Source organism: Homo sapiens, chromosome 4, assembly GCF_000001405.40.
Source record: "Homo sapiens chromosome 4, GRCh38.p14 Primary Assembly".
Classification (NCBI taxonomy): Eukaryota; Metazoa; Chordata; class Mammalia; order Primates; family Hominidae; genus Homo; species Homo sapiens.
Genome location: NC_000004.12, coordinates 153,410,953 through 153,429,987, shown reverse-complemented (window position 1 = coordinate 153,429,987; position 19,035 = coordinate 153,410,953). Strand labels below are relative to the sequence as shown.

At 41.3% G+C, this 19,035-nt stretch overlaps 1 protein-coding gene across 4 annotated transcripts in view, besides 2 other annotated features; it reads right to left on the bottom strand.

The window, feature by feature from the left end:
- Positions 3,235-3,434: an enhancer, noted in NCBI's record as "active region_22053". NCBI's record gives its function as "activates an Ori minimal core promoter by ATAC-STARR-seq in GM12878 lymphoblastoid cells {active_cell/tissue: GM12878}" and the evidence as "EXISTENCE:reporter gene assay evidence [ECO:0000049][PMID:35858748]".
- Positions 7,749-7,888: a silencer, noted in NCBI's record as "silent region_15759". NCBI's record gives its function as "represses an Ori minimal core promoter by ATAC-STARR-seq in GM12878 lymphoblastoid cells {active_cell/tissue: GM12878}" and the evidence as "EXISTENCE:reporter gene assay evidence [ECO:0000049][PMID:35858748]".
- Positions 14,870-19,035, bottom strand: part of MND1 (meiotic nuclear divisions 1) — a 70,470-nt gene continuing 66,304 nt past the window's right edge. For 3 of the 4 annotated variants that reach the window (NR_045605.2, XM_005263275.3, NM_032117.4), the window contains one exon: positions 14,870-15,237. Coding sequence is in view for 2 of the 4 variants with exons in the window: in XM_005263275.3 (XP_005263332.1) it covers positions 15,131-15,237 (107 nt within the window). In the remaining 2 variants the exon portion in view is untranslated. The remainder of the gene's footprint in view (positions 15,238-19,035) is intronic. The other variant, NM_001253861.1, reaches the window with a different exon arrangement.

Here is a 19,035-nt window from a genome sequence, read left to right as displayed (position 1 = left end):
GGGAGGCTGAGGCAGGAGAATTGCTTGAACTGGGGAGGTGGAGGTTGCAGTGAGCTGAGATCACGCCATTGCACTGCAGCCTGGGCAACAAGAGCGAAACTTCATCTCAAAAAAAAAAAAAAAAGAGGGTGAGTAACTGGGGCACTGAATGTAAGCCTGTAATAAACAGCTAAGAGTACATGGAAGTTGCTTTTGTCCATATACACTAGGACATAAAAAAGAGAAGAGAAAGGAAATGCAAGACATTTCTGATTCTCTTCATGGTAATCACACAAAAGTGGAAACAAAAGAGTTAGAAAAATGCTTTCTTGGGACTTAGGAGAAATTTAAAACAGGGCAACTGATTGGTTTATTGCTAGGACACCAATCTCATACAGATCAAAATTCATACATTTTTCTTTCTCTTTGAATAACTGTCCTAAACCTAATTTTGTGGATCCATAGGGTATCTGCAGGATTCTACACATGAAAGATTCTCACTCTTAGCTCCAAAACTGTTTGACTTTTAAGCTTGGATCCTAATAAGGATTCTACTTGCTTACTTCAGTACCAAAAACTGTTGTGGAACAGTTACCATACATGGGCAGAGAAGCTCTGAGGAGGAAAAGGGGGAGGGAGAACATCACTGCAGCACAGCAGTTATATAACACACGAGGAGCGCTGCAAAAGCAAAAGGCTCCTTCTGCCTTCCTTCAAAGTATTAAATTCTAAAAATGTCTAAAAGACACCTAATATGCACATCTTAGATGCTGGGGAGTTAGTAGCTGAAATATAATAACATGCAGATATCAATTAAATCTGATAGGGTTATGTTGCTGTTTTAAATAACTTTAGATACTTGGTGTCCACAAGGAACAGTTACAGAAATACATGTGCAGTATGTTTCAGTAATGGCAGAGCAAATGTCATTTCCTTTTTCACTGACAATGAGTTATGAATGTTGACCTACAGACTGTCCCCAAATAAGATGCATTCCAATAGTTCATTTCTAAGTCAGTTACTAGGAACTCAGAACATAGTTTCCCATAGAAACAATTTTAGACGTGGTGGTTTAGATTTCCAGATATGGCCAAAGAAGCCTATTTAGTCCTAAGTAATTTTACTAAAGATAACCACCATGTATAACGATACTTTTTTATAAGAAAATATTTCCCAACTTCTAAGTTACAATTGCAATTTCTGTAACTCCTCTTCCCTTGCCCTGGAAGGTGTGCAGAATGCCCTGACTTCCAGTAAAGACGTACAGAGGCAGGTTGGGAGGTGGTAGTGGGGTGGGCAGGGAAAAGTAGGCTCTTCCAGTGCAAAAGTAAGGACTCTGAGATGGAAGTGAACTCTGGTGGAGTCTGGGCCCTGCAGGGCTGTGCGCCTGTGCCAGTAACCTCCGCAACTATACATTGAGGATGTATCTCTTTCTAGTAGGAACTCCCTAAATGTTCAGAATGATGTAACTACCTTCTATTGATCACATACTCTATATACTAGAGCACAGAGTTAATTGCTGTATCTACCTTATTTCTCTTAATTCTCCAAGCATGCTCAACGTCTGTGAGGCCAATTGTTATCTGCCTTCAAGAAAGAGGACACGAGCTGGGCGTGGTGGCTCATGCCTGTAATCCCAGCACTTTGGGAGGCCGAGGCGGGAGGATCACTTGAGTCTAGGAGTTTGAGACCAGCCTGGGCAATGTGGTGAAATCCCATCTCCAAAGAAAAAATACAAAAGTTAGCCGGGCATGGTGTCATGTGCCTGTAGTCCCAGCTACTCAGGAGGCTGAGGTGGGAGGATTGCTGGAGCCTGGGAAGTCGAGACTGCAGTGAGCTGTGATTTTACCACTGCACTCCAGCCTGGGCAACAGAATGAGACCTTGTCTCAAAAAGAAAAAAAAAAAGGACATGAATGAAGGCTTAGGAATGTTAAGTAACTTGCCTAACTTTATATAGTTAGAGCCAGAACTGGAACCCAAGCTGGCTTTACTCCAAATCCACTTATTCTATACTCAAATCCAGAGATTTGAGGAACATTTCCAACAGCTTATTTAGTTTCCCAGTTAACAGCTTTAACTGAGGCAATAATCATCACCCGCAATGAATGGACTGGATTAACTCATTCAAGAAATATTAAGTGCCTTCTATGTGGACCATTCAAGGAGGAAGGTGCTAGAAATGTAGTGGATACAAGACATCCAAACATGAACATTTGGGTAACTTTATGAAGATGACCAGTGCCAGAGGAATGTACATACCTTACATTGTTATTTAGTTCAGAGTAAGAGCTGAAGGGTGGTTTCTGTGACCTGGAATTATCACAGAAGGCCTCATCAAGGAGGTTGGACTTAAGCTGTGCCTTGAAGAAATGGGTTTAGATAGAGGGCATGCCTGATGGAGGGCTCACGGAAGCACACTTGCATGCTAATGATTTTTAAAATTTAGAGTGGAAGTTGAAAATACTGGGGCCAGAAGGTGCAGGTGTGATCGTGCCACTGCACTCCAGCCTGGATGACAGAGTAAGACTCTGTCTCAAAAAAAAAGTTAACTTTTCACATATTTCAACAGAATATTTAGAAGCAGTGACAACTATATCGCAATGTTAACAATGTTATAATAAGGTCACTTTAGGAGTAAGGTGGTATGTTGGAATTAAATATATTTTGAAGGGACAGATGGCCTTGAAAAGAAGGTGATCCTCCCACCTCAGCCTCCCAAGTAGCTGGGACTACAGGCGCACACCACCACACCAGGCTAATTTTTATATTTTTAGTAGAGACTGGGTTTCACCATGTTGGCCAGGCTGGTCTCACATTCCTAGGCTCCTCCTGCCTCAGTCTCCCAGAGTGCTGGGATTATAGGTGTGAGCCACTGTGCCTGGCCCATACTGTCTTTTTAAAAAATTTTGTTCTAAACAAAAATTTATTTATCCTACCTTCCTGCTGAAGATATAGCACTTTCAATTATGGTTATGCAAAATAATTTTATTCCCTGAAGCTGTGTTACATCAAAGATTGACACTTTTCCAAAAAAGAAGTTATTTTTCTGGATCTTATTAACGTAAGCATCGTTATAAAAACTATATTTTTATCTGTAACAAACAGACAGACAGGCCTTTTTGATCCTTGTACATATAAACATTTTGTTAGGGTACTTAAAGGCAAAATAATTGTTCCAGTTGACCTAAGAATCAAATCAAATCTAAGCAAGTTAAATTCAGTCAGGTGTGAGTTTCCAGAGCTCACAGGAAACACATGCAAGCAAGAAGTACATTTACTTAAACACAGCAACAACCACAACTGAACAGAGAAAAAACCGCACATCTGTTCAATTTAAATGAGTTAAAAGTTCCTATAGTTACTTTTCAAAATGTTGTGAGAAACATGATGCCTTCCAAGTTCAGGCTTGCAAAACAGCTCACCCTTTCTGCATCAGATTCAGCCTCCAAACTGGTAACTTATATTCTAAAGAGGTTTTCCAGAAAGCATTTGGGATTTAACTTTAGAAAGCCAATTTTTTTTCTTTCATGAAACAGTGTCTCGCTCTGTCACCCAGGCTGGAGTACAGTGGTGCGATCATTGTTAACTACATCCTTGACCTCCTAGGCTCAAGCGGTCCTCCCACTTCAGCCTCCTGAGTGGCTGGGATTATTATAGGCATGGGCCACCATGCCTAGCTAATTTTTGTATTTTTTGTACAGATGGGGTTTCACCATGTTGGCCAGGCTTGTCTTGAACTGCTGAGCTCAAGTGATCTGCCAGCCTTGGGTTACCAAAGTGCTGAAATTACAGGTGTGAGCCACTGCGCCCAGCCTAGAAAGCCAATTTTTAACCTAAAGACATATAAATATTCATTAGAAATTTTCTTCTGCATTAATTAATTCCAACTAAAAGGCAGGTTTTTTTTTTTTTTTTTTGAGACAGAGTCTCGCTCTGTCGCCCAGGATGGAGTGCAGTAGCGTGATCTCGGCTCACTGCAAGCTCCGCCTCCTGGATTCACACCATTCTCCTGCCTCAGCCTCCCGAGTAGCTGGGACTACAGGCACCCGCCACCACACCTGGCTAATTTTTTGTATTTTTAGTAGAGACAGGGTTTCACCGTTTTAGCCAGGATGGTCTCAATCTCCTGACCTTGTGATCCGCCCGTCTCAGCCTCCCGAAGTGCTGGGATTACAGGCATGAGCCACTGCGTCTGGCCAAAAGGCAGGTTTTTTTTGTTTCTGTTTTTGTTTTTTCTTTTTTGAGACAGAGTCTTATTCTGTCACTCAGGAGTGCAGTGGCATAATCATGGCTCACTGCAGCATTATACTCCTGGGTTTAAATGATCCTCTTGCCTCCCGAGTAGCTAGAACTACAGGCACACACCAGTACACCCACATAAATCCTTTTAATTTTTTGTAGAGACAGGGTCTCATTTTGTTGCCCAGGCTGGTCTTTAACTCCTGGGCTCAAGCGATCCACTTGCCTTGGCCTTCTAAAGTGCTGGGATTACAGGCGTAATCCTCCGCACAGGACCCTAAAAGGTAGTATTTTTAACAAATTTTATTTTTTTATTTATTTATTTTTTTTGAGACGGAGTCTCACTCTGTTGCCCAGGCTTGAGTGCAGTGGCGTGATCTCGGCTCACTGCAACCTCCGCTTCCCAGGTTCAAGTGATTCTCCTGCCTCAGCCTCTGGAGTAGCTGGGACTATAGATGCCTGCCACCACACCCGGCTAATTTTTGTATTTTTAGTAGAGACAGGGTTTCACCATATTGGCCAGGCTGGTCTCGAACTCCTGACCTTGTGATCCGCTCGCCTCGTCCTTCCAAAATGCTGGGATTACAGGCATGAGCCACCGCGCCTGGCCAATAAATATGTTTTTTATAATAGATACCCAGCTCATTTTATATAAATCTTTTTTTTTTTTTTTTTTTAAGGAGTCTTGCTCTGATACCAAGGCTGGAGTGCAGTGGCACGATCTCAGCTCACGGCAACCTCTGCCTCCCGGGTTCAAGTGATTCTCCTGCCTCAGCCTCCGGAGTAGCTGGGAGTACAGACATGCACTACCAGGCCCGGCTAATTTTTGTATTTTTAGTAGAGATAGAGTTTTGCTGTGTTGGCCAGGCTGATCTCAAACTCCTGACCTCAGGTATCTGACCACCTCGGCTTCCCAAAGTGCTGGTATTACAGTCATGAGCCACTGTGCCCAACCCACAAATCTTTTTAATAAAAAACTTACTTAAGAGTTCATTTCTGAAACCCGTTGGAAAAAGCAATTTTAGAAGTCCTCAAAGCCATTACCTTTCCTCTTCTTTTCTATAAAATTCAGCTCTATCTTACATCTCACATTCCTTTTCGAGGATCAATTCTTTCTGAATATGAACTCTTTTCTTCTTTTTTGTCAAGGAATTCATCCTTAGATTTCCCACAAATGTGCAAACAGATATATTTAGAAATGTTCTCTGAGGCCAGACAAGGTGGCTTACGCCTCTAATCCCAGCTCTTTGGGAGGCTGAGGTAGGAGGATCACCTGAGCCCAGAAGTTCAGGACTGGCCTGGGCAAGATAGGGAGATCCCCATCTCCACAAATAATTTAAAAATTAGCCAGGTGTGGTGGCATGAGCTGTGATCATGTCACTGCACCTCAGCCTGGACAACAGAGCAAGACCATATCAAAAAAAAAAAAAAAAGAAAAAAAAAGTTCTTGAAAATATTGTCTGAAATACCATGAAACTGAAAACACACCAAATGTTCATCAATTTTGGTTTAATAAACTACAGTATATCTTTTTTTTTTTTTGAGACAGAGTCTCGCTCTGTCCTCCAGGCTGGAGTGCAGTGCTGTGATCTCAGCTCACTGCAAGCTCCACCTCCCAGGTTCACGCCATTCTTCTGCCTCAGCCTCCCGAGTAGCTGGGACTACAGGCACCCACCACCACGCCCGGCTAATTTTTTTTTGTATTTTTAGTAGAGACGGGGTTTCACCGTGTTAGCCAGGATGGTCTCGATCTCCTGACCTCGTGATCTGCCCGTCTCGGCCTCCCAAAGTGCTGGGATTACAGGCATGAGCCACTGCGCCTGGCCAATAAACTATATCATTATGAAGAAATACTATATAGCAAGTAAGACAAACGAGGTAAATCTATGACTAATATGTGAAGATGTCCAATAATCATTTTATTGACTGTTTTTTGAATCAGGGTCATTAATTTATTTCTTATATTTTGAATGGAAGTCTCTGTTGCCCTGGCTGGAGTGCAGTGGCGTGGTCATGGCTCACCGCAGTCTTGAACTCCTGGGTTCAACTGATCATCCCACTTTGGCCTCCCAAAGCTGCGATTACAGGCATGAGCCACTGTAACTGGCTCAGTAACAGTTTTAAATGAAAGATAAAACAATGTTGACCAATATGTACAGAATTATCTAATTTTTGTTTTTGTTCTTGTTTTAAAATTATAGTTAAGTATCTTTTTTTTTTTTTTTCCCTGAGATGGAGTCTCACTCTGTTGCCCAGGCTGGAGTGCAGTGGCGTGATCTCGGCTCACTGCAACCTCTGCCCTCCAAGTTCAAGCGATTCTCCTGCCTCAGCCTCCTGAGTAGCTGATATTACAGGCGCCTGCCACCGTGCCTGGCTAATTTTTTGTATTTTTAGTAGAGACAGGGTTTCACCATCTTGGCCAGGCTGGTCTTGAACTCCTGACCTCGTGATCCACCTGCCTCGGCCTCCCAAAGTGCTGGGATTACAGGTGTGAGCCACCGTGCCTGGCCTATAGTTGAGTATCTTTAGAGACCAAATAGTCCCAATGCTACATAAATTGTTTTGGGACCTATGAAAGGAAAGAAAACTTCTAATAAATATATATATATATATATGTGTGTGTGTGTGTGTGTGTGTTTGTGTATTTTAGATGGAGTCTCACTCTGTTGCCCAGGCTGGAGTGCAGTGATATGATCTTGGCTCACTGCCACCTCCACCTCCCTAGTTCAAGCAATTCTCCTACCTCAGTCTCCCTAATAGCTGGGATTACAGGTTCACACCACCACGCCCGGCTAATATTTGTATTTTTAGTAGAGACAGGGTTTCACCATGTTGGCCAGGCTGGTCTTGAACTCCTGACCTCAGGAGATCTGCCCGCCTTGGCCTCCCAAAGTGCTGGGATTACAGGCTTGAGCCACCGCGCCCGGGCTCCACTACAGTTTTATGAGTAATATTAGCCAATGCAAATGAATAAGAGAAAACAATTAGAAGGATAAGATTGAAAGAGAACTAAAACTATGTCCATTTGAAGATTATGCCTGGAAAAAGATTATACCTGGAAAAAGACAATATACCTGAAAATTTTCAGAGAATTAATTATAAAATAAACAAGAATTTAACAAGAAGCAGAGTATAAAAGTAATGTGCAAAATCAATAGGCTTCAGATACATAAATAAGGCTAAATAGGAGGAAAAATGGAAGAGAACACCCCATTTAGAATGGCAACAACAACAACAACAAAATACTTAGGAATATATATGAGAAATGTGAAAAATCTACGTGAAGAAAACGACAAAACTGCCAGAAAAAACAAAAATGTACTTGAGCAAATAGAAAGGCATCCTTTTTTCTTGGATAGAATGTTTCATCATCATCAAGATATCAGTTCTGCTTAATTTATAAATGTAATACAATCTCAATAAAAATAGAGCCAATTTTTTTTTTTTTTTAAGAGGAGAAGAGGAGACTTTATTTCTTAGGATTACAGCCTCAAGGCAGGTATTTTTCCTGGAATTAGAAAGTTGAAACTAAAGTTTGAGCTCAAGTCAGTTTGTCAACTCAGAACGAAACTGTGACTTAAAGGAGAAAGCATGCTCGCGTCCCTCTAATACATGAACTCACTACCTTATAATCCTATTGAGACAGTCCCACTTACCTCTAGCTGATTTGCTGCCATATGGAATGAAGACTTAGGGTTGCCAAATCATCCAGTTTCCAAAAGAAGCTGAACATCTCAATTTGCAAGTGACATTTTACAGTCTGAATATATTTGCAACTAATTTAAATGAAAAATAAAATACATTTTGGGAAAAATAAAATACATCTTGCAGATCATATCTACTTCACAGGCTGTTTTTGACCTTTCAGGGATTGGTAAACTTTTTCTGGAAAGGGTCAAATAGCAAACATTTTAGGCTTTGCAGGCCACTACCAGTCTCTGTCCCATATTCCTGTTTATTTTTATACTATTAAAAAATGTAAAAAGACAGTAAAAATAGACCTTGGGTTTGGCCCTCAGTGTGGTAATTTACTAATCTTGGTTAACAGAAACCATTAGCCTTGAGATTCAACAATGAGTACCTTGGAAGGAGACAGCAAGCCACTTCCATCTCTGACCTCTATCTCTCAGTTATTTTATTTTTTTTTTGGAGTCTCGCTTTGCCACCCAGGCTATAGTACAATGGCATGACCTTGGCTCACTGCAACCTCTGCCTCCTGGGTTCGAGGATTCTCCTGACTCAGCCTCCCGAATAGCTGGGATTACAGGCGCCCACTACTACACCCAGCTAATGTTTGGATTTTTAGTGGAGATGGGGTTTCACCATGTTGGCCAGGCTGGTCTTGAACTCCTGACCTCAGGTGATCCGCCTGCCTTGGCCTCCCAAAGTGCTGGGATTACAGGTGTGAGCCACCGCGCCCGGCCTTCTCTCACAATTTTTTTTTTAAACTTATGCTGGGATAAGTATAATATATAGATTCACTGCAGTGGGTCATTTTGTAATGCAGTGCTTTTTCTTTCTGGCAAATAAACAATATCCAGAAGCATATCCTGAAAGGGAGTTTATGCATAATATTGCGATGTCATCCCACCATCTGTCACATTTTAACTGCTCTTACAGATGGTACCATATCAACTGAAAAATGTTTTCTAGATACTTTACTTCAGTCATGGCTCTCAAAAAACAGTATTATCAGATTTACAATTTAGACTTTTCTGCTCAAGAATTATTAGGGTGGTTCTTGCTTCTTGACTGGCAGCTATACTCATTTCCTTTTTTAACCCTTTAAAGAGAATCATGTTTCTGTTTTTCTTTAGAGACAGGATCTCATTCTATTGCCCAGGTTGGAGTGCAGTGGGGCAATCACAGCTCAGTGTGGCCTCAAACTCCTGGGCTCAGGTGATGCTCCTGCCTTAGCCTCCTGTTAGCTGGGACTACAAGTGTGCGCCACCACAACTGGCTAATTTTTTTTTTTTCATAGAGATGGGGTCTCGCTATGTTGCCCAGGCTGGTCTCGAACTCCTGGCCTCAAGGGATCCTCCCACCTGGCCCTCACAAAGCACTGGGAATTATAGGTGTGAGCCACTGTGCATGTCTGAAAATCATGTTTGATAAAGTAAAGAACAATAGCATATATTTCTGAGACAGGCCAAGAACTGTATAATCCCACTAGATTAATGATGTGGTCAACATCAGGAGAAAAGTCTTACCCAATTCGTCCTTACAGAGTGCTTTGGTCCTGGTCTAACCTCAGAACAGACATTTCACAGATTTGATCTGGCCTTGGACAATTGTGAAACTTACCAGGAGACTGTAAAAACTTTTTTAGAATCCCTTAAGAATAGGACAGATATTATTTGAGATTTAAAAAAAAAAAACACATAAAAGAGGTTGATAGGATGCCTTTTAAACTTCACAATTCATTGAAAAGACACTGGGATTATCATTTATAGCATGATTTACTGAATCAAATTTGGTCCTGGATAACTTGTAATATGATTCTAGGTCTACCCAAGTTGTCCTAAATCTTCAAATCAGTAACAAAACCAACCCAAGACTAAGGATTACCTTGAGCTTAGCTAGACTCACGCCCCTGGGCTGCTGTTTTCTTTCTTTTTTAAATTTATTTAAAAGACAGGGTCTCACTATGCTGCCCAGGCTGGCCTCGAACTTCTGGGCTCAAGCAATCCTCCCACCTCTACCTCCTCCGTAGCTGGGTGATATGGTTTGGCTGTGTCCCCACCCAAACCTCATCTTGAATTGTAGTTCCTATACTCCCCACTTATCATGAGAGGGACCCGGTGAAAGGTCATTGAATCATGGGTCAGTTACCCCCATGCTGCTGTTCTCGGGATAGTGGGTGAGTTCTCACAAGATCTGATGGTTTTACAAGGGGCTTTCCCCTCTTTTGCTTGGCACTTCTCCTTGCTGCTGTCACGTGAAGGACATGTTTGCTTCCCCCTCCGCTGTGATTGTAAGTTTCCTGAGAACCTCCCCTGCCATGCTGAACTGTGAGTCAATTAAACCTCTTTCCTTTATAAATTTCCCAGACTGGGGTATGTCTTTATTAGCAGCGTGAGAACGGACTAATACACTGGGACTACTGGCACAGGCTACCATGCCTGGCTTCCTGCCTTCTTAACTAGTATCTCGAACTTCAGGTGAGAATAAACTCAAATACCGCTCTTAAAGATTAACAACAGTGATGGACAGGAGCAGGTAAGTCAGCTGTTAAACAGAGAGCCAGTGGTTAAACGCAGCCAGCATTAAAGATGAAGTTATGTAAAGGATGATGAACTGTATATTAAAAACAAAGACGCCAAATACTGAAGAGTGATAACTCCCTAAGTACTTCACTACATTTTACCGTTCCCTGTGCTGTTGAGTTTTATTATCTACCTCATCTTTATGGTGGAGGTACTACATAATGGTGTGCTGCCGAGCATCTCTTCCCCTTCTCTACTGGCATTGCACTGGTAACCTCAAATCGGCTATGCTGGCAGTACTTACACCACGCAAGTAGGCAAACACTATAAGTCAGCTTCCCTCTTCCAGACAGCCAGCTATTAAACTTAGCAGCACACTGCTGGCTAAAGATGCTACAGCCTCTGGTTAGCTCATGTATAGACCCCCATCTCACTCACTCTCGTGCTAGCCCTATAGAGAACTAAATTCTTAAAAGTTAACTAAATATTAAACAGCATCTTTTAGAGATCATTAGAAATGGTTTCTTTTTTGAACACACATACTTCCTTTCTAAACAAGTATCTTTTATAATAATGGCAATTGGGCCTGAGAAGTTTTGGAATTCCCACGATTAGTTTTAGAAAAATTGGTTATTTTTATTTTTTGTCCTCTGTCTCTTACATCAAATACTTTCTCTTGTCAGAAGAGCTGTTGCCTAAGGCAACATAAACTGGCCTCATGAACAAAGATAGGCCAATTTGCTCCCCACCAACCTCCAGGAAGTGATTAAGTAGGCCCAGAGCAACTCCATGCAATACAAAGGCCAGATTCACTAACAAATGGTTTGGATGCCATTTGGGTCATTTCAGACATATGGAGTATTTCACTCGAGTTACTTAAAAGAATATCAAAATTGGACAATGTAAAAAAAATAAGCCTGTGTGTAAAGGGCATTACATACGTTTTGATTTTATTTCTTTAGATGTGGAGTGCCTGCAAATTATCTAAATAGCCAAGCTGAACTATAAAAAGATATATACGTGGGATATGTCATTTTTAACCTACTCTTTTTTAGATAGCTGAAAAAAACCCTAAAATTCTATATAGCTGGTGATGTGTGCTATACAAAGACAACTACAGTCATCCACTGTTTAACAACAGTGTCAAGAACAGACTACATACATCATGGTGGTCCTATGAGATTATAATGGAACTGAAAAATTCCTACCACTTAGTGACATCGTAGCTGCGGCAATGTCTTAGTGCAACACATGACTCGTGTTTGTGGTGATGATGGTGTAAACAAACCTACTGCACTGCCAGCTGAATAAAAGTGTGGCAATACAAGTATGTATAGTACGTAATACTTGACAATGATAATGACGATGTTACTGGTTTATGTATTTTCCATGTTTTTAGAGTGTACTCCTTTTACTTATTAAAAGAAGTTCGGCCGAGTGCAGGGCTCATGCCTGTAATCCTCGCACTTTGGGAGGCCAAGGTGGGCGGATCATCTGAGGTCAGGAGTTCGAGACCAGCCTGACCAACATGGAGAAACCCCATCTCTACTAAAAATACAAAATTAGCTGAGCATGGTGGTGCATGCCTGTAATCCCAGCTACTCAGGAGGCTGAGACAGAAGAATCGTTTGAACCCAGGGGTCGGAGGTTGCAGTGAGCTGAGATCGTGCCATTGCACTCCAGCCTGGGCGACAGAGCGAAACTCCGTCTCAAGGAAAACAAAAACAAAACAAAACAAAACAAAAAGCTCACTGTAAAACAGCCCCAGGCAGGTCCTTCGGGAGGTTTTCCAGAAGAAATTCTCTTCATAGGAGATGGCAGCTCCATGCATGTTGTTGCTCCTGAAGACCTTCCTGTGGGACAGATTGTGGAGGTGGAAACAGTGATATTGGTGATCCTGAACCTGTGTAGGCCTACGCTAATGTGTGTGTTTGCCTTGGTTTTTAACAAAAAGTTTTTAATTTTTTTTTTTTTTTTTAGTCAGGGTTTCACTCTGTCATTCATGCTGGAGTCAGTGGCATGATCTCACTCAATGCAACTTCTGACTTCCAGGATCAAGCGATCCTCCCACCTCAGCCTCCCGAGTAGCTGGGACTACAGGTACGTACCACCACATCCAGCTAATTTTTATATTTTTTTGTATAGGCAGGGTTTCATCATGTTTCCCAGGCTGGTCTCGAATTCCTGGGCTCAAGAGATCCGCCTGCCTCGGCCTCCCAAAGTGTTGGGATTACAAGTGTAAGCCACCACACACAGATAATTTTTTTTTTTTTTTGAGACGGAGTTTCGCTCTTGTTGCTGACTGGAGTGCAGTGGTGTGATCTCGGCCCACGCAACCTCTGCATCCCAGGTTCAAGCGATTCTCCTGCCTCAGCCTTCCCAAGTAGCTGGAATTATAGGCCCCCACCACCATGCCTGACTAATTTTTTCTTTTTTTTTAGTAGAGATGGAGTTTCACCAGGTTGGCCAGGCTGGTTTCGAATCCCTGACCTCAGGTGATCCACCTGCCTTGGCCTCCCAAAGTGCTGAGATTACAGGCGTGAGCCACCACACCTGGCCTCAAAAATTTTAAAATTTATTATTTTTAATATTTAATTTTTTTAATAAAAATATTTTTGTACAGCTGTACGTTTTAAATTAAATGTTTTACAAGAGTCAAAACATTTAAAAAATTTAAATTTATAAAGTAAAAAATTGTAGTAAGCTAAGGTTATTACAGGAAAAAAGTTTTATAAATTTAGTGTAGCCCAAGTGTACAGTGTTTACAAAGTCTAGAGTAGTATGTAGTCATGTCCTAGGCCTTCACATTCACCCACCACTCACTCACTCAGAGAAACTGTTTTTTTTTTTTTTTTTTGAGATGGAGTCTCACTCTGTCGCCCAGGCTGGAGTGCAGTTGCGCAATCTAGGCTCACTGCAACCTCTGCCTCCCGGGTTCAAGCAATTCTCCTGTCTCATCCTCCTTAGTGGCTGGGACTGTCGGCGCTTACCAACACGGCTGGCTAATTTTTGTATTTTCTTTTTTAGCAGACAGGGTTTCACCATGTTGGCCAGGATGGTCTTGATCTCTTGACCTTGTGATCCGCCCTTCTCGGCCTCCCAAAGTGCTGGGATTACAGGCATGAGCCACGACACCTGGCCACTCAGAGCAACTTCTTGTCCTGCAAGCTCCATTTATGGTAAGTGCCCTTGACAGGTGTGCTACTTTTATCTTTTATACTGTATTTTTTTTTTTTTTTTGAGACAGAGTCTCGCTCTATTGCCCAGGATGGAGTGCAGTGGTGCAATCTCAGCTCACTGCAACCTCTGCCTCCTGGGTTCAAGCAATTCTCGTGCCTCAGCTTACCTGAGTAGCTGGGACTACAGGTGCGCACCACCACACCTTGCTAACTTTTTTTATTTTTAGTAGAGACAGGGTTTTGCTATGTTGGCCTGGCTGGTCTCGAAGTCCTGACCTCACGTCATGCACCTGCCTTGGCCTCCCAAAGTGCTGGGATTACAGGGCGGTCCTATACTGTGTTTTTACTATATTTTTTCTATGTTTAGATATGCAAATACTTACCATTGTGTTACAATTGCCTACAGTCTCCAGTACCATAATATGCTGTATAGGCTTGCAGCCTAGGAGCAGTAGGCTATACCATCTAGTCTAGGTGTGTAGTAGGCTATACCATCTAGCTTTATGTAAGTACACTTTGTAATGTTAGCACAATGACGAAATGGCTTAATGATGCATTCCTTAAAACATATCCCCATTGATAAGTAACACATGACTGTATATCATCTTATAAAAAGTACATAAATCAGGACAAATGGCCATGCACTTGTTCTTTCCAATAGAAAGTTATCAAAAACTCAAAAGAAAAAAGTAGTTTTCATGTCTGAGGAATTACTACTTAACTAAATTTGAGGAATACCAACTTTCTGTATTTTTTTTTGTGGGAAATTTGCAAAGATAATGCAGAATACTGAGTTCAGTCACTGTTGGGAAATAGGAGAGCAGCCATTAGGATTTCAAAGGTTATTTCCAAGCATTTAGGTGTGTGTATATGTATGATGGATCCTTCAAATACACTTTTTTTTTTTTGAGACAGAGTCTTGCTCTGTTGCCCAGGCTAAAGTACAGTGGCACAATCTCAGCTCACTGCAACCTCCACCTCCTGGGTTCAAGCAATTCTCCTGCCTCAGTCTCTCAAGTAGTTGAAATTACTTTTTGTATTTTTAAGAGAGACGGGGTTTTGCCATGTTGGCCAGGCTGGTCTTGAACTCCTGAGCTCAAGTGACTGCTCCTGAGCTCAAGTGAAGCTGCCTGCCTCGGCTTCCCAAAGCGCTGGGATTACAGGTGCGAGCCACCATGCCCAGCCCAAATATACCCTTAATAGTTAATATTAATATTTAAACAAAACTAAAGCATTATCACGTCATGGTTTTGATCTTAAAAAAAAAATCATTTGTAAATCTGCCTGGACTGAGATGGATGGATTTTTATTGTCCTACTTTGATGAGCACTGGGGGGATATGGTTATCATCCTGCTTTTGTTCTACCAAAAGGGGTGAAGAACATCTGCATTTTACACTTTATTTAACATTAATAAAATGATAAACACAGTTACAGGCAAACGACAATTCAGTACACTTAGTTAGATAATAGTTTAAAATTTACATATTCACAAGCTTGTACATCCTTCACCACCATGGAATATTTTAGTCTATGTAGTCAAAGTCTTCTGGAATTCCAAAAGTTCTATCAATTTTATTTTCTTCAAACCCAAATTTTCTTTTGGCCCAAGATTTTATTGCGAATATGTTATCTATAAAGAAAATTGAGAAATAATTTTGAGAAAAACACAATCATAAAACATTTCAAGTATAATTATCTTCATTGTTCTTTTACTTCCTTCTATTAACTTTCAGATATATCAAAATAAGGAGTTTTCTGTATTTTTAAGAGTAATGGCAACTAATTAAAAAGTACTTAAGGCCAGGTGCGGTGGCTCATGCCTGTAATTCCAGCACTTTGGGAGGCCGAGGCAGGGTGATCATGAGGTCAGGAGTTTGAGACCAGCCTGGCCAATATGGTGAAACCCATCTCTACTAAAAATACAAAAATTAGCCAGGCATGGTTGGTGGCGGGCACCTGTAATCCCAGCTACTCGGGAGGCTGAGGCAGGAGAATCGTTTGAACCTGGGAGGCGGAGGTTGTGGTGAGCCGAGATCACACCATTGCACTCCAGCCTGGGCAACAGGAGTGACACTCCGTATCAAAAAAAAAAAAAGTATTTAAATACTATTTTGAACAAGTTAATAGATCTCATATTTAAAAATTCTGTAAGCTGCTTGCTGCTAAATACCAGACTTAAGAATAATAGAAAAACAGGGACAGGTTAATGGTGTCTCTTCTACATTTCCACAGCAGAGGCCAGGACTGTTGCCTCAGGAATTAAAGTTGCTCCTATTCCCAAAGGGAACACATTCTCTCCAGACTCTTCTTCCTGTCCTACAGACAGTAATGGCTTCCAGACAATCAGGCCAGTACTAGGGAGAGGGGGTGGGGAGCAGGGAAAGGGGTTCTCTTAAGACTAAGAACAGAAATGTCCTCAGCATCTCCTGGGGGGATTTAAAATGCATTAACAACTGAAAAAAAGTGGTATGTCTACTTCAAGGGATTTATCCCAAGGAAATAAAACAAACTGTGTACAAGGACTTTTGGTCAAGGGTCTTTATCCCAGTGCCATAATAGAAAAAATAAAAGCAATCTAAATGTCTACTCATCAGGAAGCTAGTGAGGGAGGCAGGACCGTGACAGTGTGCTCACAGTGGCTGCACTGGGGAGGGTGGGAGGAACAGTGGATTTTTTTTCCTTTTTTTTTTTTTCCCCTTGAGACAGGATCTTGCTTTGTCTCCCAGGCTGGAGGGCAGTGAGTGGTATAATCTCAGCTCACTGCAGTCTCCACCTTCTAGGCTCAGGCAACCCTCCAACCTCAGCCCCACGAGTGGCAGAGACAACAGGCGTGCACCACCATACCCGGCAACTTTTGTATTTTTTGTAGGGATGAGGTTTCACCATGTTGCCCAGGCTGGTCTTGAACTCCAAGCCCAAGAAATCCACCCACCTCGGCCTCCCAAAATGCTGGGATTACAAGTGTGAGCCACCGTGTCCAGCCTTTCTTTTCTTAATTTCATACATTTCTTTAATGTACATACACAACCTTTATGATGAAAATGTATTACACTCACAGAAAAAATAATGGTATAAGATTTTATAGCTTGTCGGAGTATTCTGTAAAATGTTAAACACTCTGTTAGTAGTGATAATGAAGTAAAGGGTTAGAATAGGTTCTTCTGGAATGTTATGGGCTGAATCATTTCCCCCCAAATTTGTATGTTGAAGTCCTAGCCCCTACTACCTCAGAATGTGACTATATTGAAACAGATCTTTAAAGAGGTGATCAAGTTAAAATGAGGTCATTGGGGTGGGCCCTAATCCAGTAGGATTGGTATCTTTATAAGAAAAGGATCATGAGGTCAAGAGATCGAGACCATCCTGGCCGACATAGTAAAATCCTGTCTCTACTAACAATACAAAAAGATTAGCTGGACATGGTGGTGTGCGCCTGTAGTCCCAGCTATTCCAGAGGCTGAGGCAGGGGAATCGCTTGAACCCGGGAGGCAGAGGGTGAAGTGAGCAAAGATTGCACCACTACACTCCAGCCTGGCGACAAAGCAAGACTCCGTCTCAAAAAAAAAAAAAAGAAAAAAAAGAAGAAAAGGATTGGCTGGTTGCGGTGGCTCACGCCTGTAATGCCAGCACTTTGTGGGGCCGAGGCAGGCAGATTGCCTGAGGTCAGGAGTTCGAGAGACCAGTCTGGCCAACATGGTGAAACCCCGTCTCTACTAAAAATACAAAAAAAATTAGCCGGGCATGGTGGTGTGCGCCTATAATCCCAGCTACTCGGAAGGCTGAGGCAGGGAAATTGCTTGAACCAGGGAGGTGGAGGTTGCGATGAGCTGAGATTGCACCACTGCACTCCAGCCTGGGCGACACATCAAGACTCCATTTCAAAAAAAAAAAAAAAAGGAAATTTGGACACATGGAGAGACACAGGAAAAACTGTGAGAGGACACAGGGAGAAGGAAGACCTGGAGAAACCAAACCTGCCAACATCTTGATCTTGAAATTTGATCCTCCAGGATGGTGAGAAAAATTTCTGTTGTTTAAGCCACCCTATCTGTGATGTTTTGTTGCGGCATCTCTAGCAAACTAATACATGGAGTTTCATCACTTTTTAAAATATTTTTTCTATGGAAGTTTATTTCCAAGTATCAAATATTGATAAACACATTTCTGGAATGAATTTTATGGAGAATACTACTGCATCAAATAGAATAATGTTAACAAAATTAACTTCTTTCAATCAAAGTGTTATGGAATGTCAACAGATATTAAAATGATCTTTACTCTTTGTAACAATCTAAAATGAATCTTTACTTTTCCTAACAACCTAAGAGAGAATGTTAAAATAACACCATAAGATATTCTAGGATAATTTTTACCAGTCTCTGCCCAACCAGTACATTCTTGCTAATCACATCCAAATGTTATGTCTGCTGCTACATAAGACAAGTATCAGGTGCACTGCAGGTATTACAGAATGTGAAAAACCTATGCCTTCAAGTTGACATAAGAGTGAAAAAAAATAATTTATTACTAAACAATTACAAAGTGATAGGTGTCTCAGAGAGAAAAGGCCAAGTCTTATGTGTATAGCTTACAGGATAGGCTTCATGAATACAGAAAGATTTCTAGGAAATGAGAGAACAGATACAACAATGTAGGAAGCTTGTAGGGAACAAACTTCAAACCTGGATCAGAAATGAGAATGAGGCACCAGGGTAAGACTATTGAACAGCCTCTACAGGAAGGATTTCCTGATTCATAGGAGGATAAGAAACCATTTCATTATAAACATTTAAAGGTTAAAAGCAAGAAAAAGAACAAATAAAAACCTCTCCACAACAATGCCTAATGGACCAATTCAAAGAAGACTCTGATTAAACATTTCTTTGAGCCACTGGATGTCGGCCTTCAAGATAAAATGCCACTGAGAATCTTGATAGTTCATTCTCTGTCAAATAATTTCCCTATTTAATGTAGAAATTTTTATGAATGGATATAGAATAATTTTTTTCTTTTAAAGAAACAACCTTAAGACGGGCAGAATTTCTGTTTGATTTATACGGTGACACAGCAAAGATACCTATAGGAATAGGATGGGCAATATCATTTGCAATGAATCTAGGTTGGGCCCTCATAACACCTGTCCCTCTTCACTCATTAAGATTCCTCTCATATGTGTTTACAAAAACCTCACCATCTTAATTATTAAGCAAGGTTTCATATGATATAATTGAAGTCACACTTAAAGTGTATTTAATATCATAAAACATTTAGATGTGGCATTTCTATACTTAGACTCTGAGGTAATCTCATCCTATAGAACTGAGATACTGAATTGTTGAACAGTATATATTCTCAATTCTAGCTACATTTTTAAGGACTTTTTTATTTTCTTGAGACAGTGTCTCACTCTTGCTCAGGCTGGAGTGCA